The sequence below is a fragment of the Homo sapiens genome, chromosome 7 (genome assembly GCF_000001405.40).
Source record: "Homo sapiens chromosome 7, GRCh38.p14 Primary Assembly".
NCBI lineage: Eukaryota > Metazoa > Chordata > Mammalia > Primates > Hominidae > Homo > Homo sapiens.
This window is the reverse complement of record NC_000007.14, coordinates 101,824,298-101,846,295: the sequence shown is the minus strand read 5'-3', so window position 1 is coordinate 101,846,295 and position 21,998 is coordinate 101,824,298. Positions and strand designations below refer to the sequence as shown.

At 46.7% G+C, this 21,998-nt stretch overlaps 1 protein-coding gene across 25 annotated transcripts in view, besides 2 other annotated features; it reads right to left on the bottom strand.

The window, feature by feature from the left end:
• Nucleotides 1-21,998, bottom strand: part of CUX1 (cut like homeobox 1) — a 467,952-nt gene that overhangs the window by 437,663 nt on the left and 8,291 nt on the right. The window lies entirely within an intron of this gene.
• Nucleotides 13,867-14,508: an enhancer, noted in NCBI's record as "H3K4me1 hESC enhancer chr7:101475068-101475709 (GRCh37/hg19 assembly coordinates)". NCBI's record gives its function as "activates a minimal SCP1, AML or CMV promoter by ChIP-STARR-seq in primed H9 embryonic stem cells {active_cell/tissue: H9 hESC(primed)}" and the evidence as "EXISTENCE:reporter gene assay evidence [ECO:0000049][PMID:30033119]".
• Nucleotides 21,377-21,939: an enhancer, noted in NCBI's record as "H3K4me1 hESC enhancer chr7:101467637-101468199 (GRCh37/hg19 assembly coordinates)". NCBI's record gives its function as "activates a minimal SCP1, AML or CMV promoter by ChIP-STARR-seq in naive H9 embryonic stem cells {active_cell/tissue: H9 hESC(naive)}" and the evidence as "EXISTENCE:reporter gene assay evidence [ECO:0000049][PMID:30033119]".

Here is a 21,998-nt window from a genome sequence, read left to right as displayed (position 1 = left end):
AGGGCTCGGGAACTCCCCTGTTTATGCACAGACTATGGGCATCAGCCCTGGCAGCTGGGCCATCTATGCTGGGAGAGCTCAACTTGGAAGATAAGGGAGGAGTCACTCTATTAAAATATGAATTAAATAAAACCAATCATTCCTTTTTAAAGGATCCAGACCAGTGCTCATTTAATGTGCAAACATTCATGTGCATATGATTCACCTGACAATCTCATAAAAATGCAGATTCTGTCTCAGGAGGCCTGGGGTGGGGCCTGAGAGCCTGCATTTTTTCTTTTTTTTTTTTAGATGGAGTCTCCCTTTGTCACCCAGGCTGGAGTGCAGTGGTGCAATCTCGGCTCACTGAAATCTCCGACTCCTGGGGTCAAGCGATTCCCCTGCCTCAGCCTCCCAAGTAGCTGGGATTACATGCATGTGCCACTGCATCTGGCTAATTTTGTATTTTTAGTAGAGATGGGGTTTTACCACGTTGGCCAGGCTGGTCTTGAACTCAAGTGGTCCTCCGGCCTCAGCCTCCCAAAGTGCGGGGATTATAGGCATAAGCCTCTGTGCTCGGCCAGATCCTGCATTTCTAACGAGCTCCCAGGTGATACCACTGTTGCTGGTTCATGAATCACTTTGCCTAGCAAGGGGCTAAATCGGAACAGCACTGTTCCATAGAAATGTACGATGTGCCATGTAAGTCATGTTAACTGTCCTGGCAGCCAGCCCCAAGCCTATCTAGCCAGCCTCCTCCTCTATTCCCTCCCCACTTTCATCCCCACACCACAGGCTAAGGCCAGTGGGTCTCAGTAGGAGGTAATTCAACTGGAGCTATACACAGACAGTATTTCAAATACATACAAACAGTACCTCACCACCCATCGCCTGTCTCAACAATCGCCAATTCATGGGTACCCTCACTACCAATCGCCCATCTCAACAATCGCCAATTCGTGGCCAGTCTACACCAAGGCTACTCTCTTCATGTTTGAGAATGAGGCTAATGTTAAGAGATACAGAGAACAGGTCAGGCATGGGGGCTCGCACATGTAATTCCAGCATTATGGAAGGCTGAGGCAGGAGGACTGCTTGAGCCCAGGAGTTTGAGACCAGAGTGGGCAACATAGTGAGACCCCATCTCCATTTCAAAAAGAGAGAGAGAGAGAGATGGACAACAGAAGAAGGGTTGACACCTGTACAGTGGGTGTCCTAGAAAGAAGAAAAAATAAAGAGAGGAGAGAAAATATTTGGAGAGATAAATGTATGAGAACTCCCTAGAATAAAAGAAAAAAATAAGACATCAGAATCAAAGGGTCAGTAAAGTGCCAAATAAGATAGGTAGGTGGAAGAAATCATTATTTAGATACATTTTGGTGACATTAAAGAATAAAGACAGGCCAGGCGCAGTGGCTCACGCCTGTAATCCCAGCACTTTGGGAGGCCAAAGTGGGTGGATAACTTGAGGTCAGGAGTTCGAGACCAGCCTGGCCAACGTGGTGAAACCCTGTCTCTACTAAAAATACAAAAATTAGCCGGGCATGGGGGCAGGCGCCTGTAATCCCAGCTACTCAAAAGGCTGAGGCACAAGAATCACTTGAACCCGGGAGGCGGAGGTTGCAGTGAGCCAAGATCGTGCTGCTGCACTCCAGCCTGGGCGACAGAGAGAGAGACTGTCTCGGAAAAACAAAAAGAAAAAAGAAGAACGATGACAAGGATAAAAAGAAAAAAGAATGAAGACAGGGATAAAAAGAAAAACCAGACTTCCCTCCAAAGCAGTAAGAATCACACTGTCCTCATATTTCTCAACCGTGACTCTCTGTGCAAAAAGAAAACAGGGGAATAATCTGGGTGTTGAAGAAAAAGAATTTTGACCTACAATTTTACATCCAGCTAATGTATCACTTAAATATGAGGGTGGAATAAGTATAGACTCAGACTTTAAAGTCTCAGGAAGTTTATCACAGAAAGACTTCTTTAAATGCACTATCATTTAAAATACTTAACAAAAGTGCTCTGAAAAGGAATCTGGAGGAAAGAGACTTTATTCCCGTGGACAACGTGCAAACCAGGGAGATGCAGCCTTCCGTGTAAACAGAAGCTGCTGGGGTTGGGGGCGGGGGCGGGGGCGGGGAGGGGGACGGTGTTTGTTAATAGCAACAGTGCCCACCCAGGTTCCCAGTCAGATTTCTTTATGAATGATTCAAACGTGCTTAGGGCTGATTGGTTGACACAGCTGAGCCCTGATTGGCCAGGGCTGGTGAACTCAGACTAGTTGGGTCAGGTGAGCTCTGAAAGTCCCAAACTTAAGAAAGGTGCAGGTTTTCAGGGAACTCAGACTAAGTGTGTGACTTCCAATCTGCAAATGGCCGTCTGGCTCTATTTTAGATTTAGGCCTGGTTAGCCATTCTGGATCCATCCTGAAGGATTGGCTCTTTCAAAAGGTTCACATTTGTTCACATATTCTAGCAAGGAGAGAACATTAATACTGAAAGTCTAATACCTGGTGACGCTGATTCTGCACACCCGAGGGCCACAGTCCTATATGGCACCATTATCCTAGAATCTAAACGATCTCAACAGGCTGAAGGGAGGAAACGAGGTCCCTATCACTTAACTTGTTTGACAGAAAGACAAAGATATTAATAGCCTTTAGAAACTGACAGGAATCCCTACTCCAGGCAGTTGAAACAAGTAAGTGAATTTAAAAATCAATTATATTCTAAAAGAAAAAAAAAAGAAATGGATAGGAAAAACTAATCACATAAGTGGCTCTTAATAATTTTAAGAATAATCACAATTCTGAGCTCTAGAAGAATAAAATAGATTGCACAACTTTAAAATCCAGCAGAAGAAAGTTCAACCCTACAAAGCATTACAAGAAAAGCTTTTTTAAAAATAAGTAATGGTAAGCAGAAAACACAAAATAAGATGGCAGAAATCCTAATATAACACAACTACCAGAAATGTGTCTCAGCTAAATTCACTTATCAAAGATTCTCAACCTGGGTTTTAAAAACAAGATCTTACATCACAGATCTGCAACAAATGCAATGAAAGCAAAATGATATGGATTGGAAATAATTAAAGAGAAAAAGCAACATCAAACAAATGGAAACCAAAAACAAACAAAAAAAATAGGAGAATAGGCCAGGCACGGTGGCTCACGCCTGTAATCCCAGCACTTTGGGAGGCTGAGATGGGCGGATCATGAGGTCAGGAGATCGAGACCATCCTGGCTAACACGGTGAAACTCCGTCTGTACTAAAAAATACAAAAAATTAGCTGGGTGTGGTGGTGGGCGCCTGTAGTCCCAGCTACTCAGGAGGCTGAGGCAGGAGAATGGTGTGAACCCGGGAGGTGGAGTGAGCCGAGATCGCGCCACTGCACTCCAGCCTGGGCGACAGAGAGAGACTCTGTCTCAAAAAAAAAAAAAAAAAATAGAATAATTTTAATGTCAAAACGAATAGAATTTAACATGAAAAACATAATAAGAGTCTATACAGACATCAAAAAAAAAAAACCAATACATCAGGAAAATCTAAAGATCATGATCATGATCATACATGCAATGTAACAGTACAGCCTTAACCTAATATAATGTAACAACTGTCAAAAACTGTAGGAAGGCCCAGCATGGTGGCTCACACCTGTAATCCCAACACTTTGGGAGGCTGAGGCAAGAGGATCACTTGAGTCCGGGAGTTAAAGACCAGCCTGAGCAACATAATGAAACCCAGTCTACTAAAACTAGGAAAATTAGCTGGGCATGGTGATGTGCTCCTGTAATTCTCGCTTCTTGGGAGGCTGAGGCACAAGAATTGCTTGATCCTGGGAGGCAGAGGTTGCAGTGAGCAGAGATCACGCCACTGCGTGCCAGCCTGGGTGATGCAGCGAGACTCTGTCTCAAAGAAAGAAAGAAGAAAAAAAACTATGGGAAGAAAATTATCAAAGAAACAGTGACATGAATGTATTCCATATACCAAACAAACTGTATGACTATATGGTATATGTCACTTGTATACTGCATATATAACGTTTTTTTCTACTCAAAAAACACATTCTTTTTGAGCACATATGGAAAATTCACAAAAATCCACCATGTGCAAGACACCAAAAAGAAGACCTCATAGATTCCAAAGAACCAGGATTATGTGAACTATGTTCTCTGACCATATGTGATAAAAATGACAGCAACAACATTTTTAAAAGCCATTAAAGAAAAGTGTCAAAAATCTAAAAAATATACAGTATTAAATAACCCTTAGGTTAAAGAGAAAATTATAAGGGAAATTACAAAATGAATAGAAAATTACAAAATGAATAAAAATGAAAGCACTACATGTCAAAATTTGTGGAACACAGCTAAAATAATACTTAGCAGAAATGTTACAGTTTTGAATAGATTTATCCAAAACAAGAAAGAACCCCAATTTAAAAAGCTGAGTATTCAAGGCCAGGAGTGGTGGCTCATGCCTGTAATCCCAGCACTTTGGGAGGCTGAGGTGGGTGGCTCATGCAAGGTCAGGAGTTCAAGACCAGCCTGTCCAACAAGGTGAAACCCTGTCTCTACTAAAAATACAAAACTCAGCTGGGCGTGGTGGCAGGGACGCCTATACTCCCAGCTACTCAGGAGACTGAGGTGGGAGGATCACTTGAACCCGGGAGGCAGAGGCTGCAGTGAGCCAAGATCACACCACTGCCTTCCAGCCTGGGTGACAGAGTGAGGCTGTCTCAAAAATAAATAAATAAATAAATAAATAAAATGAAATAAAAAGCTGAGTATTCAAAAAAATAAGTTAGAAAAAAAATGCACTCAGAAAGTAAAATAATGGTGAGAAATAAGCCACATAAAAAAAAGGCAAGATTAACAAGACCAAAAGCTGTTTTTTCAAGATCAGTAAGATAAACAAACCTCTATGTACAACTAAAAATAAAGAGAAGAGTTGTAAATAAATTCAGAAATACAGAATGTAGAAATGGGAGACAGCTAGAGTTCAAAACAGATTTACAAAAAAAAAATACTATGATCACAGAACAGTTAAGTTTTAAAACCAAGATAAAATGAAAACATTTTTAGAAAATTATAAAATGCCAAAATTGGCATAAGAATAGAAAACCTGCCGGGCGTGGTGGCTCACGCCTGTAATCCCAGCACTTTGGGAGGCCGAGGCGGGCGGATCACAAAGTCAGGAGATCGAGACCATCCTGCCTAACACGGTGAAACCCCGTCTCTATTAAAAATACAAAAAATTAGCCAGGCGTGGTGGCGGGCACCTGTAGTCCCAGCTACTCGAGAGGCTAAGGCAGGAAAATGGTGTGAACCCGGGAGGCAGAGGTTGCAGTGAGCTGAGATCGCGCCACTGCACTCCAGCCTGGGCGATAGAGCAAGACTCCGTCTCAAAAAAAAATAATAATAATAATAAAATAAAATAAAGAATAGAAAACCTCAATAGACCAAAAACAAAAAAAGTGAAATGTTAAATGCCTCCCAGCCACCATTCTAAAGTCTCAGGCCCTGATGGTTTCAAAGGTGAGCTATCAAATTTTAAGATACAGATAATCCTCATGTTATATAAATTGTTCCAACACAATGTTTACCCATTTCATGAGACTAGTAAACCTCAATTCCAACTGAATAAGAAAATTATAGGCCAATTTCACTTAATAACACAGATTTGAAAACTGTATATCAAATCCAACAATATTTTTAAAATACAAGAGGAAGAAGAGTTTATCCCAGAAAGCAATAAATGATTCAACATCATATAGTCAATCAATGTAATTTACCACATTCATAAACTAAAGGATAAAAACTGCATGGACATGAATAGGTTTTAAGGAAAAGTATTTGCAAGAGGATAACGCCTATTTATACCAAAAAAAATTCTCTAAAAACTATGGAAAGGGGAGTTAAGGTAGTTCCTTCACCTGGTTAAACCTTCTACCAAAAATCTCCTTTGGTAGAAAGAGAAAGAAAAGGGCAGCCTCTATCACCACCACCATGTAATTGAGTACTTCAGATTCTAGCCAGCAAGTCACTCCACTGTAAGAATCAGAAGGAAAGGAACAAATAAAAACTTGCATTATTTTGCATATATTATTTCCAGAGAAAATGCAACAGAATCAAGTTAATTAGTAAAAATATTAACAGCAAGCTTCCCAGCTTCGAAATCAACAAAAACCAATTGTTTCCTCTATACCACAATAATCTATTAGAATTTTAAATTTTTTTAATTTAAAAAACTATAACGGCCAGCGTGGTGGCTTACGCCTCTAATCCCAGCACTTTGAGAGGCCGAGGCAGACGGATCACCTGAGGTCAGGAGTTTGAGATCAGCCTGACCAACATGGTGAAACCCCATCTGTACTAAAAATACAAAAATTAGCCAGGTGTGGTGGCGCATGCCTGTAATCCCAGCTACTGGGGAGGCTGAGCCAGGAGAATCGCTTGAACCCAGGTGGCAGAGGCTGAAGTGAGCCAAGACCGCGCCATTGTACTCCAGCCTGGGCAACAAGAGCAAACTCTGTCTCAAAAAACAAAAAAAAGAAAGAAAATTGACAAATTATTCGCATGTGAAACATACAAGGAGCTCTTGCAAATCAACAAAAAGATGGTAAACCATTTAGAAAAAAAAAAAGAGGACAAAATATATGACCAGACAATTTACAAAAGGCGAAATCTGAAAAGCTGACAAGTATAAAATGAGGCTTATCGCAAAGATCGACTTCCCTGGTGATCAGAGAAAATGACACAACACTGAAGTACCACTTTAAAACCATCTCACTGGCAAAAAATATCTCCACAAAGCACGGATGAGATTGTGGGGGAAAGAAACTCTCACGACTGTGGGTGGGGGAGTAAGTGGGGCAGCCACGCTGGGAAGCGATCTGGAGGTGCTTCGTGAAAGAAGGACCACTATCTGGCTGGATCCAGCAAGGCTTTTCCTGGATACTGGTAAGGGACGTGTGTAAGAACGTTCCTAGCAGTGCTGTGCATGGAGGGGCTTGGGGGAGGGGGGTCAGATACCACCGAGGGTGACCAGCCCCAGGGAAATGGACGTGTGAGCTAGGGTGCTGCTACGGACTGAACTGTGTTGTCCACCCCCCTCAAATTCATACATTGAAGCCCCAGCCTCCAATATGATGGTACTTGGAGGTGTGGCCTTTGGAAGGTCGTAAGGATGAGATGAGGTCACTAGGGTAAAGCCCTCATGATGGGATTAGTGTACTTAAAACAAGAGATACCAGAGAGCTGGCTTGCCTGCCTGCGCACACTCTCTGCTATGTGGCAACACAGCAAAAACGAGGCCATCTGCAAGCCAGGAAAAGGGCCCGCACCAGGAACCACGTTGGCCCGTACCCGGATCATGGACTTTCCAGCCTCCAGAACTATGAGAGATAAATATGTGTTGTGTAAATATGTGAAGCCACCCCATCTATGGTATTCTGTTACGGCAGTCTGGACAGATTAACACAGGTCAATTCTGAAGGTGGATTTTTTTTTTTTGAGACAGCGTTTTACTTTTGTTGCCAAAGCTGGAGTGCAATGGCACAATCTCGGCTCACTGCAACCTCTACCTCCCAGGTTCAAGCGATTCTCCTGTCTCAGCCTTCCAAGTAACTAGGACTACAGGCATGCGCCACCAAGCCCTGCTAATTTTTTGTATTTTAGTAGAGACGGGGGTTTCACCATGTTGGTCAGGCTGGTCTTGAACTCCTGATCTCAGGTGATCCACCCACCTCGGCCTCCCAAGGTGCTGGGATAACAGGCGTGAGCTACCGCGCCTGGCCCTGAAGATGGATTTCAATACGGCTGTCATAACAAACAAAATTCACAGGGAATGACATAGACAACAAGATCTCAAAAATTGTGGTGAGTGAGCCCAGGTGAGGTGGCTCACGCCTGTAATCCCAGCACTTTGGGAGGCTGAGGTGGGTTGATCACCTGAGATCAGGAGTTCAAGACCAGCCTAGCCAACATGGTGAAAGCCCGTCTCTACTAAACATATAAAAATTAGCCGGGCATGGTGGCAGGCGCCTGTAGTCCCAGCTACTCAGGAGGCTGGGGCAAGAGAATCACTTAAATCCAGGAGGCGTAGGTTGCAGTGAGCCGAGATTGTGCCACTGCACTCCAGCCTGGGCGACAGAGCGAGACTCTGTGTCATTTAAAAAAAAAAAAAAATGTGACGAGTGAAAAGGAAGGAGAAAAAGATTTAGGGCACAGTGCCACACTTATGAATTAAAACCACGTATACACACAAAATAGGCCACATATTTTACAAGTTTGCATCCATATAAAGGCATAATTAATAGAGTAGAATGAGGAAAGGGGGCTGAAAATGAGAACGGACCATAAAGGCAGGCAGAAAACAAGGATTTTGTTTTTCTTGCACGTGGTGTAGAAATGGGAATGTTAAAACCCTTATAATTTGACTTGAGAATTTTGGTATCCTTTTTTTTTTTTTTTTTTTTTTTTTTTTTTGACAGGGTCTCGTTCTGTCACCCAGGCTGGAATGCAGTGTCACGATCATGGCTCCCTGCACCTTCGACCTCCCGGCTTCAAGTGATCCTCCCACCTCAGCCTCCTGAGTAGCTGGGAACACAGGTGTGCGTCACCATGATGCCCAGCTACTTTTGGATTTTTTTTGTAGAGAGGGTCTCACTATGTTGCCCAGGCTGGTCTTGAACTCCTGGGCTCAAGCAATCCACCCGCCTCAGCCTCCCAAAGTCCTGGGATTACAGGCATGAGCCACTCCACCCAGCCAGATTTCAGTAACTTTAACATGATAGAACAACTGGCAAGATGTTCTTAAACATTTAAAATTATAGTGAACTGAGTTGAAATTGAGCTCGTTTCTATCCACAGAGGAGGTAAGATTCACTCATCTGAGTTGACAGACTCACTGAGATACACATACACAACTAAAAAAAGATTTGGTATTTCACTGTAACGTATGGAACCCGCCAATTTCATTCACAATTTACGCCAGCTTCTAATTATACTTTAGTGAATATTAACCATTGTAATTGCTTAATGTTTTATTGGTGGGATCTAACGTATTGAGGGACATCTGGCTTGGCAAATGGAATTCTGCTGCCTTTAGAAAACAGAGCTTAGAGGACATATGTCCTCCTCACACTCTCAAATATACCTGCACCCCGGACAAGTGCATCTCAAAGATGTCACTGTAAGTCCATGCCAAGCCAAAGCCGTGCACGGCAAGTTGCTACGACCTGGATTTTCATTATAGTGGCTTGTTTCAGAATGCTCTTCCATCTCCAAATAACACAATGGCCAACTACAAAGGATGAGGAAATTTGACTTTCCCAGGCCACAGAAAAATGGGGACGGGGCACTGCAGGACTGACTCACTCAGAGCCATCGAGGGCCCAGGTTCCTTCCATCTTTCTGCCCCATGTCCTCTGCGATTTTTACTCTGTCTCCCCTGCCCCCCACCGCACCCATGCTGGGATGATGGTAGCAGGTGGGGGCAGCCTCTTCTCCCACAGGCATGTCTCCAGGCAGACAACGGGCACTCCCGGTTTCTCCAGCCAAAACAAAGTGTAATGCCCACTGGCCGTGGGGAAGGAACAGCCAGGATTCTTTTTTTTTTTTTTTTTTTTTTGAGAAGGAGTCTCGCTGCTCTCAGAGCCTTGGCCAGGCTGGTCTCGAACTCCTGACCTCAGGTGATGCACCCGCCTTGGCCTCCCAAAGTGTTGGGATTACAGGCATGAGCCACTGCGCCTGGCCAAGGATTGATTTAGACAACCCTCAGGCTTCATAGTCCAGTGAAGGGGGTCCCTTGTTGCTGAGCAAGGAGGGCAGGTGGGGTTGGGGGAAGGGAGGACCGCGGGGGCAACCAACTCTCATCCCAAACTGCACAACAGCCATTTTTTTTGTAGAGATGGGGTCTCACTGTATTGCCCAGGGTGGTTTCAAACTCCTGGGCTCAAGCGATCCACCTGCCTGAGCACAAAATCACTTTGTGCACAGCAGTGGTTCGCAGGGGAGCACCTGCACCCCAGGAGAAATCTGAGGAAGAGACAGCATGACACCCAAGGCAGAAGAGAGAGAGATGGAACGGGCTGGGTGTTAAAAGCAGCATTCTGGAGAACAAACGGGACTTACACATAAGAGGCCAAAATGCAACAATGCAGGGAGGTAGCGACGGCTAATGGCTACAAAAAAATAGAATCAATGAATAAGGCCTAGTATTTGACAGCACAACAGGGTGACTATAGTCGATCATAATTTAATCGTACATTTTAAAGTAACTAAAAGCAACTGGGCGCGGTGGCTCGCGCCTGTAATCCCAGCACTTTGGGAGGCCAGGTGGGTGGGTCACCTGAGGTCAGGAATTCGAGACCAGCTTGGCCAACATGGTGAAACCTCGTCTCTACTAAAAATACAAAAATTAGCCAGGCATGGCAGCTGTAGTCCCAGCTACTCAGGAGGCTGAGGCAGGAGAATCGCTTGAACCCGGGAGATGGAGATTGCAGTGAGCCAAGATCGCGCCATTGCACTCCAGCCTGGGCAACAACAGTGAAACTCCAACTCAAAATAAACAAACAAATAAAATAACTAAAAGTGTATAATTGGACTGTTGGCAACACAAAGAATAAATCTGTGATGGATGGATACCCCATTCTCCACAATGTGATTATTATGAATTGCATGCCTGTATCAAAACATCTCATGTACCCCATAAATATACGCACCCACAAAAATAAAAAAATAAATAAATAAAATACAACAGACTCAAAAAGCAAAGCCCAGAGTGACTACATATGACCTGGCAATTGCACCTAAGAAAATGGAAAACTGCATTCATACAAACATTTGTACACGAATGTTCACAGCAGCGTTATTCACAATGGCCAAAAAAGTGGAAACAGCTCGAATGTTTACTAGCTGATGAAAGGATACACAAAACCTGGTATGCCCATACCAGGGAATATTATTCAGCCATAAAAAAGAATGCGGCCCAGACAGGTGCATGAGTCAATGTGGGTGAGCCCCGCAAACACTGTGCTACGTGAGAGAAGCCACAGCACGAAGGTCACGTAATCCATGATTCCCGAGACGCATGGAGGCAGAGAATAGATGCAGAGAATAGATGAATGGTTACGGGGTGCCGGGGGTACAGGAGGGAGGACAAATGGTAACTGCTGACAGGTATGGGAGTTTCTTGTCGGGGTGTTGGAAACGTTTTGGAACTAGATCGTGGTGATGGCTGCACGACATTGTGAGTATACCAAACACCTATGGATTTTAAACTTTATTTATTTATTTATTTATTTATTTATTTATTTATGACACAGAGTCTCGCTCTGTCACCCAGGCTGGAGTGCAGTGGCGAGATCTTGGCTCACCGCAACCTCTGCCTCCCGGGTTCAAGAGATTCTCCTGCCTCAGCCTCCTGAGTAGCTGGGATTACAAGCGCTCACCACACCTGGCTAATTTTTGTATTTTTAGTAGGGACAGGGTTTTGCCATGTTGGCCAGGCTGATCTCAAACTTCTGGCTTCAAGTGGTCTGCCCGCTTCAGCATCCCAAAGTGCTGGGATTACAGGCCTGGCCAGAATTTTAAACTTTGGAAAGGTAAATGTTACATTATATGAATTTTAGCTTTAAAAAAAAGTTACGGGACGGAGGTATTGTATCAAAAGAACTGCTCTCTGCACCAGGGCAACAAGCGGCACGTTTAGAACAGAAAAAAAATTTCTTTTCAAGAGTACTCTGCACCTTCTTGGTCCTCTCTAAAAAAAGGAACTTTTTAAAACTCACTGTGCATGCAAATGTTTTCAGTCTTGCTCTTTCTTTAAAAATAGAAAATAAGGCTGGGCGTGGTGGCTCATGCCTGTAATCCCAGCATTTGGGAGGCCAAGGCAGGTAGATCACCTGAGGTCAGGAGTTCCAGACCAGCCTGGGCAACATGGCGAAACCCCATCTCTACTAAAAATACAAAAATTAGCTGGGCGTGGTGGCGGGTGTCTGTAGTCCCAGCTACTCGGGAGGCTGAGGCGGGAGAATCGCTTGAACCCAGGAGGCGGAGGTTGCAGTGGGCTGAGATAGTGCCACTGCACTCCAGCCTGGGCAACAGAGGGAGACTCCATCTCAAAAAAAAAAAAAAAAAAAAAAAAAAGAAACAATCAGCTTTTCAAATAAATAAGAGGCCTCTCTCTGAAACAGAACACTAGGCACTAAAGGCCATCCCTGGGCACCGCCCTGTGGATTCCACTTCCAGATTCTTCCCTGGAAGAATCGTGACAACAGAAGTCTGGGGATAAGGAAAGGCACGTGGCTGCACAGGGTAGGACAGGATCAGAGGGGCCGGCCCAGCACCCCACCTACTCGGTACTCGTGTGAACACTGTGCGTCCCATTCTAGGACAGACTCTGCACCCCCCGTTAGAAGGAGATGCCAAGTGCCCTGATTTGGGGGGGAAAATTGCAGTGAAGATTTCTTAGCAAAATCGCCTCCTCCTAACACAGAATAAAACCAGTCTGCAAAAAGGATGCAGACTTCCTGGGAAGGCGAAAACCTGAGAGCTCTGTTTTAGGGTCTGATGCCGCAGTGTACAGGTCCCAGAGCCCTGGACTTGGCCTCCTGGAAATACTACAGCACAGTAATGGTTTTTAACCTGACATCCATCTTCTGCTCTCCCACGCCCCGAGGTGACTGTCGCACTTTCTCCCTTCTCCATAAGCTTGCTTTTGGATTCTTTTTTTTTTTTTTTTTTTTTTTTAAGAGACAGAGTCTTCCTCTTGCTCTGTCACCCAGGCTGGAGTGGAATGGCACTGTCATACGTCACTGCAGCTTCCAACTCCTGGGCTCAAGCGATCCTCCTGCCTCAGCCTCCTGAGCAGCCAGGATCACAGGTGTGCACCATCACGCTCAGCTAATTTCTTTCTTTTTTTTTTTTCTGTAGAGACAGGGTCTCACTGTTGCCCATGCTGGTCTTGAACAACTGGGCTCAAGCAATCCTTCCGCCTTGACCTCCTAAAGTATTGGTATCACAGGTGTGAGCCACCATGCTGGGCTAATTTCTTTTCTTTTCTTTTTTTTTTTCTGTAGAGATGGGGTCTCACTGTGCTGCCCAGGCTGGTCTTGAACTCCTGGGCTCTCAAGTGATCCTCCTGCCTCAGCCTCCCAAAGTGTTGGTATTACAGGTGTAAGCCACTGTACCTGGCTTGCCTTTCCGATCCTTGAACGCTTCACGTTCAGTCGAACGCACCCTCCTCCCTTTTTCTCAGGAAAATACATGAATCAGAGAAGAATGCTCTCAGGGAACCAGCCCCGAAGTTACTTTCCCAGCAAGACTTCTCTTTAACCTGCAGACAAGTCCAAGCCCTCCCACCCCTAAGCAGCTCCTCCCTGCACACCACCTCCCTCTCCGGCCCCTCCCTGCATGGCCATGGCGCTGCTCCTGGTAAGATGGGGACCAGAGGCACCGGAGCAGGCCACAGGACAGCCAGCTGACCCCCTGTGCAGCCGCTCCGACGCGCCCAGAAGTGGCAGTCCTAGTACCAAGCAGACAGGAGCCCCCCAGCAGTAGGTACCTGCCTTGCCACCAGGTATCACTATAATTAGTCATTGTCATTGAAGCTGAATGCAATTAATTACATAATTTTGAAAGGTTCGGGTTTATTTCCATTAGAATTACATCATGAAACCAGGGAATTACAAAGGATTACAGACAGAAAGCAAATAGGGATGAATAAAGGAACTCCAAGCCAACTCCCCGCGTGAGTCACGTCCAACGCCGAAGTGTGGGTCCTGTCGCCCCACTTGTGTTTGATAAACCTGTGGGGACTGACTGGGTGGACGTCTGCACGAAGCCCGCCCCTGAAGGTGCCAGCCCCCTGCACCGCAGGTGCTGGGGACACAGTGGGCTCGCTGGATGTGCCATGTCGGTGGGGGACACTGATGACCACACCCTCCACAGGCTGTTCCCTGCCCCTGCTGTTCCCCAACCTCAGTTTTTCGCACCCCTCTGGATGCCTGTGGAAATGCCACTCACCCAGCCCCATCTCTCCCATCACCCCTCAGTGGTCCCTGCCTGAAATGCCAGGGCCAGGCACACTGAGTCTGGCACGGCCACAGCCTGGCATCCTCTCACTGGGCCATGACCACCACACCCTCCTGGTTCCATTATCACCCCTCCCTCCTCACTCTAGCCCGCCTTCCATGTGGGGCTTCCAGAAGGATCCTCTAAGACACACCCCAACAACTGAACCATCCCTCTTCAGTTTAAAAATCGGGGCTAGGCATGGCAGCTCAGGCCTGGAATCCCAGCACTTTCGGAGGCTAAGGCAGGAGGATCGCCTGAGGCCAGGAGTTCAAGACCAGCCTGGGCAACACAGTGAGACCCCCCCATCTCTACAAAAAATACAAAAAAGTTAGCCTGGCATGGTGGCGCATGCCTGTAATTCCAGCTACTCGGGAACCTGAGGTGGGAGGATAGCTTGAGCCCGGGAGGTCAAAGCTGCAGTGAGCTATAATCACACCACTGTACTGGAGCCTGGGCGACAGAGCGAGACTCTGTCTCTAAATAATAATAATAATAATAATAAAGTTATTTCTCAGGGCCTTCAGAAGACAGAAGTGACTCTGTGGGGCTTTGTGTATCAGTCCTGCTCCGTCTGTTCCCAGGCCACTGGGCACTCACTTATTCCTTGCCTTTGTCTTCCATCCCCCTTGCAAGAATGTCAGTTCCGGCCAGGCATGGTGGCTCACGGCTGTAATCCCAGCACTTTGGGAGGCTGACGTGGGTGGATCACCTGAGGTCAGGAGTTCGAGACCAGCCAGGCCAACATGGCAAAACCCCGCCTCTACTAAAAATACAGAAAATTAGCCCGGCGTGGTGGTGCACACCTGTAATCCCAACCATTCAGGAGGCTGAGACAGGAGAATCACTTGAACCCAGGAAGCAGAGGTTGCAGTGAGCCGAGATTGCACCACTGCACTTTAGCCTGGACGACAAAGCAAGACTCCATCTCGAAAAAAAAAAAAGAATGTCAGTTCCTTAAGGGCAAGGATTCCCTACTGTCTGGTCACTCAATCCCTATGCTAGAATGCTGCCCGGCACACAGGAGACACTCAATAAATGCTCAACAACAGCCTAAGGAAGTCTTTGGAGCAAGACAGCCAGAGTCCATCTTCCCAAACCCCTGCCCTGTTCACACAGCAGACACACCCAACCCGCTGCCATTGGACACCTCGCGATACCCCAATGTGTCCTGCATTCTCTGACCAACCAGCAGGCCAGAAGTATATTTCTTTGGGTAACCCAGGGGCTTGAACAGGATCCATTCGAGTCATCAGGTACCATGGAGTGTGCTCAGAACACGAATGGATGCACGGCCCCAACAACCTATGAAAAAAATGAATCACCCCAAAACACACGGAACTGCCAACAACTTCACTCGAATGTGCTGTGTTATTTCTGAGACCAGGGCACATTTTTGCATATTTTGTCTTTAAATTTATAAATTTTTAACAAAACAAAGTGCATCATTATAAAAAAATCAGGCAGGCAAGAGTTATCTGGGCCAGGCGTGGTGGCTCACGCTTATATAATCCCGGCACTTTGGGAGGCTGAGGCAGGAGGATCACTTGAGCCTAGGAGTTTGAGACCAGCCTGGCCAACATACTAAGACCCTGTTTGTATAAAAATATGTAAAAAAAATTAGCCAGGCATGGTGGGGCACACCTGTGGTCCCAGCTACAAAGGAGGCTGAGGCAGGAGGATCACTTGAGCCTGGGAGTTCGCGGTTGCAGAGAGCTATGATCCCACCACTGCAGTCCACAACAGATCAAGACCCTGTCTCAAAACAACAACAACAAAAGCATCTGAATCCAGAGTGGCCCAAAACCTCAGTTTTCCAGTCCAATGATAATTCCCCGAGGAAAAGAAGCTAAGATCTCAGGGATGTCGCTGTGACCAGGCTGTTTCAGGCCAGTCGGCCACTGGTACATGTCTTATGAAATCAGTCTCTTAGAAAACACACGCCCAACATCCCATGTAGCTCAGAACAGAAGCCTGCGTGGTGGGTGCTGCCCCGACCATGTCAGGGGATCTGCATGGATTTGAGTGCGGTATCACTGCAGGGGCTACATCAACCAGTTTCCCAGGGGCTTGGAGAGTGGGGATCTGGTCTTGACCGTCACAGGGTTAAGTACAGGTATCAGTATCTACGGGCAATTCACTCCCCAGCACCCAGGGGCATAGCCCCAGCATCTCAGAGGAAAGTCTTGTAAAGAGACACCCCATCTAGCACTCACCGAACCGCCCACAGATAGGGCAGGCCGCTCCTCTGGGCCCCTCCGGCCCCATGACCAGGCCTCTCTCCTAACAGTTCCCCAAAACTGTCCCAACAAACTTGCTTCAGGCAAGGATGGGGCATCTGAGGATAGTGAGTAATGCAACAGGGGGGCTCCTTACAGCCTGAGCCACAACCGTACCCCAACTATCAGATGAAGTTTGCTAATGGGAATGATGGGGCAGCCGTGATTCTATCATCAGATGACCCTTCTCTGCGGGGCTGAGTTTGAAGTCTTGCCAGGGCAAGGCTCCAGCCAGGCGTCCCTGAGAAAGTGCTCCCCTCAAGCCCACCCACCCCGGCCCCATTTCCATCCCCTGCTGCTCACTGCTAAGTGACCCAGACCCAGCCAAGCTCATCTTGGGCGGCCCCTGAGAAGAGGTCCCTTCTGAGTCACCCGATGACCCCACTGCTTCGGCTGAGGGTTGTCTAGGGAACAGCGCAGGTCGGGAGGAAAAACACTCCTGGAGCTCAGCAAAGTCCGGGATGTAACCCCAACTCCCGGCTTCTCACCTATGGCAGGTACGCAGCTCCATAGGGCTGTCATGCAAGTAACATGAAATAAACCAAGAGCCTAAGCCCGTGTCCGTCCGCCATCTGTTCCCATGAAACCATTACTGTTAGTGCACAAAAACATAAAAATACAAAACAAAAATAGAAAAGCTCCTGTCTTGTCACCAGTGGATGTAAAACTGTAGATATGGTATGTGGAACCCAATCCTACAAGCAAATATTCTCCCTCTCCACTACTCCTTTTGCTGAAACATCAAGCCGTCCTCACTCCAGAACAGGGAAAGTCAAGACAAAGGGGTGCTGTGCCAGTTCAAGTTAATTCTTCACCCCACCCCACCCCAAGTGATGCAAAACTCTCCAGCACCAGCCAACACTCCAACAAAATCCTCCCCGGGCTTCAAACTCCAGGTTTCAACTCATCTTCCAGACTTTGGCACCCACTTTTCCACTGACCTTAAAGCCTCCTTTTCCCCAGGGGCTCGACCCCTGGAATTCCCTCCCACCAGCCCCCCAAAACCTCCATATCCCAAAGGGGGCACACCCCTTCCCCCTGCCTGGGGTGGCTCCTCTCCCTCCACCCTGTCCCTGCAGATGCTAAGCCCACCCCCCATCAGCCACCCGCAATGGGCCTGGGCATCCTGCCTCTCTAAGCCCTCCTCTCCCAGCCCTCACTTCCCCAAATCCAAGCAAATGCTTCTGCAGCCAGACAGTGATGTCACCTCTACAAAAATATCCTAGGTAGTTTCTTAGACTAAATGAAGAGGCACAAAGCCTATGAGGGCCACTGCTCTGAAATGGGGCCGACCTGGAGCGGGGCGTGCCTTTGCCCAGACACAGGGACGGGGTCTGGGGGACAAGGCAGACGTGAGACATTCCTCCGATGCTGACACCCAAACCTCTGTGTTTCTTGCTGCTGGGTTTCTCTTAGATTTTTTTGGGTTTTGAGAACTACAACATGCACTTTCCCCGTTCGTTCATATGGGGAAGTTTCCTCCCACTCAGGCTGTCAGCAGAGTCAAACAGACCTCTGTCAAAAAATTGTTCTGCCCAATGCTGTTTTTAAAAATGTGGATCTTTTTGTGTTCTATGTGCCACAGGTACAATTATACATATAGCTGACTCTTGAACAACACAGGTTTGAACTGTGTGGGGCCACTTACACGCAGATTTTTTTTTTTCCATAATAAAAGTGACATTGAGTGGGGCTGGGTATGGTGGCTCCCACCCGTCATCCCAGCACTTTGGGAGGCCGAAGCGGACAGATCATCTGAGGTCAGGAATTCTGAGACCAACCTGGCCAACACGGTGAAACCCATCTCTACTATAAAAATTAGCTGGGTGTAGTAGTGGGTGCCTGTAGTCCCAGCTACTCAGGAGGCTGAGGCAGGAGAATCACTTGAACCTGGGAGGCGAAGGTTGCAGTGAGTCGAGATCCGCCACCGCACTCCAGCCTGGGTGACAGGGTAAAACTCCCATCTCAAAAAAAAAAAAAAAAAAAACAAGTTATACCAATTGGGCCTGCTTCTCCCGACTCCCCCTCCACCTGCTCCAGCCCTTCCATCTCCACCACCTTGAAACAACAAGACCAACGCCTCCTCTTCCTCCTCAGACTCCTCAACATGAAGGCAAAGAGAATGAGGACCTTTATGATGATCCATTCTATATTCTGATTAGTAAATATATTCTCTCTTCCTTACAACTTTCTTAATAACATTTTCTTTAGCTTACTTCATTCTAAGAATACAGTATATCACACATATTAACATACAAAATACATGTTAAGCAACTGTTTATGTTATCGGTAAGGCTTCCCATCAGCGGTAGGCTATTAGTAATTAAGTTTTTGGGGAATGAAAAGTTTTATGTGGGCCTGGTGGCTCATGCCTATAATCTCAGCTCTTTAGGAGGCTGGGACAGGAAGATTACTTGAACCCAGGAGCTCAAGACCAGCCTGGGCAACAAAGCAAGACCCTGTCTCTAAAAAAAGAAAAAAATTAAAAATTAGCCAGGCATGCTGGTGAGTGTCTGTAGTTCCAGCTACTGGGAGGCTGATGTGGGAGGACTGCTTGAGCCCCGGATGTCCAGGCTGCAGTCAGCTATGATTATGTCACTGCACTCTAACCTGGGTGACAGAATGAGACCCCGTCTGAAAAGGAAGGGAAAGGAAAAGAAAAGAAAAGAAGAGAAGAGAAGAGAAGAGAAGAGAAGAGAAGAGAAGAGAAGAGAAGGAGGGGAGGGGAGAAAAAAAGTTATACGTGGATTTTTGACTGTGCAGGTGGGGTAGGGGGAACAGCAGAAGGGATCAGCCCCTAATCCCCATGTTGTTCAAGGGTCAACTGTATTTTAACCAACACTTATGTTACTTTGCAAAGAAAGATAATTAATGGGACTGAAAAAGTAACACTTATGTTACTTTGCACAGAAAGATAATTAATGGGACTGAAAAAGAAACATCTATTCCATAGGTGTACCTATCAGTAGCTTTCAAAACACAGCCATTTTAATATAATCTACCTGCTTTCACTATATTAAAAAAAAGAATTAATTTTGCATTCTTAACCAGCTGAATGAGTCCTAAATCGGACACACAAGGCAGAGAGTGGGGGCCTGTGTGGCGATGGTGTGGTGGGTACCCAAGGGATAATCAGGGCAGAGGGAGGGAACCCAAGCTCAGAGGGGAGCCCTAGAGATCCCCGGCCACCCCACGACTGTTCTGCTGGAAAGCCCTGTCTCCCACACCTCCCCAAGCACACAGAACTCAGTGGGCGCCCCCTGCCCACTCCCCGACCCGCCTTCCAAGCCCTTCCTGCAGCCTTCCCAGAGGCTCAGACACACTGCTCCATCCATCCCAGCCTCGTCCTGCCAGTCCTGTCCGCCCTCTAGGCGGGAAGCCACTGCTATTTTAAGTCTCCATCACTACTGCCGGGCACACAGGGGCAAAAGAAAAAGGAATGCATGAAATAGGCTTGAAGGCCGGGCGCAGTGGTTCACCTCTATAATCCCAGTACTTTAGGAGACCAAGGAGGGAGGATTACTGGAGCCCAGGAGCTCAAGACCAGCCTGGGGAACAGGGCAAAACCCTGTCTCTAAAAAAAAAAATGGAAAAATCAGCCAGGCGTGGTGGTGCATGCCTATAGTCCCAGCTACCCGGGAGGCTGAGGTGGAAGGATTGCTTGAGCCCGGGAGGTCAAGGCTTCAGTGAACTATGATCTCACCACTGCACTCCAGCCGGCAACAGAGCAAGACCCTGCCTCAAAAAATCAAAAACAAAAAAAAACAAAAAAATTCTGAAGTAGGCTTGAAGCTCAGATGTACAGAGGGAGGAGGAGGGAGCTCCCCCAAATAAGCAAGATTCTGGAGTCATTCTAGCTGGGATGGAAAAGGTTTAGGTGGGGCAGAAAGGACTATCAGGAACTCTGTCTGCTACCCTAAGAAATGTGGTCTCCACTCTGTGCCTAAGTGGGCCACCATGGATGTTTAAGGAGAGGAATGGCATGATGAAATCAATGGTTCGGGAAGATTAATCTGGCAGCTGCATTTATAATGGATTGCGACCTGTTTCGAATGGGCAGTTTTGAAACAAGTAAAAGACGACGCACTCAGCTCGTGTGTTAGAAAGACTTGGCTCTCACACACAATAAGCAGCCCCGAAGACTAACTGCGCGCGCGCGCGCACACACACACACACACACACACACACACACACACACACACACACAGATTTCATTAAGGTATCAGGGCGTTTTAAGATGACAGCATAATTATATACCAACACAGAGCCACGTAAAACAATCACAAACTACTTCTTACTCCCCTGACAATGACATTCAACCATAACTGGCAATATCCTTCCTCTCCCAGTCCCACATCGATGCTGACAAACTGCGGGATGACAAACTGCGGGACCAGGGCTGAGGACCAGGTGGAGGGGAAGAGATGACCAAGCCTTCCCTCTGGGACGGCCAGCTCCGGATGGTAGCTTTACGATTCCGCAGCACAGCTCTCCAAGGGCCCTGGCCACCTTGTGGTCCTCCAGGCTCATCGGTGACTGCAGGCTCCTGGATCCCATGGAGCAGAAACCTGAACTTGTCTCCCACTTGGCTGAGTGACGAGACAGCATGCGTTACTGTGTAAGCAACGAGTTGAGATACGGCTGAAATAAAGCAATTCTGGTAAATGAATGTTTCTATGCTGGTTTAAACACATGCTCCTCTGCTCTCAATTTTCTGTCTCAAACCTGTATGACTTATAACATCTCTACTGTGTGAATAGGAAGGGAAGATGGGATTTGATTAACAGCTCTGGTCGTAATTTTAGCTGTAATCTCTGTATGTTGGGGACTCCAGCCCTTTTTCTTTTGAAAGGTTGGTATTCTCCGGGCGGTTGCTGACTACGCTCTCGGCGAGGACACAGCAGAACTGTATGCAGCAGAAATAATTCACTGGACCCAGGACTGCATGGGTTCAAGTTCTGGGTCAACTACTTGGTGAAAAACAGAAAATAATATGTTTCACCATTATCTGCCACACCTTTCAGAGTGACACAGAAATGGTGACGGGAGCCACAGAATGTTCCCAGTTCCAGAGGGAGAACGAAAGTCTTTTCCAAACCTCATCAAAAACGTTACATGTATACGATTCCCTCCAGCGAGAATTTTATTTTTAATTTTCATTTACATAGTATCTTTCTTCCAAGAATCTCAAAATAATGGAGCTGTAGAAATACTTGTTTAAAAAAAAAAGTTGTCACAACACAGGAAGGGACAGGCTTGGCAGGGCAGGAGAAGGGCGAGAAGTGACAGGCCGTCCTGACAGCAAGGGCTCCAGGTAACACCCGGAGGCTAGGCTGAGGGCGGCTCCAAGCCGGCCCTTCCCTCACTGCAGCCCACGGCTTTACCAATGCTCACAGCTTCAGGCTCTTCAAGACAAAGATTTACCTTTGGTATCATCTGCTACCTTTTATCAAATTATTTTTTATCTAAATAATCATTTCTTCCCTAGAAACAGGAGGGGAAAGTGGTAATAAGCCAGAGAAACTTACAGGCCCAAAACAACAACTCAACAAAGGTGTCTAAAAAGAGTGGAGGCCAGGCACGGCGGCTCACACCTGTAATCCCACCACTTTGGGAGGCCGAAGGGGGTGGATTGCTTGAGGTCAGGAGTTTGAAACCAGCCT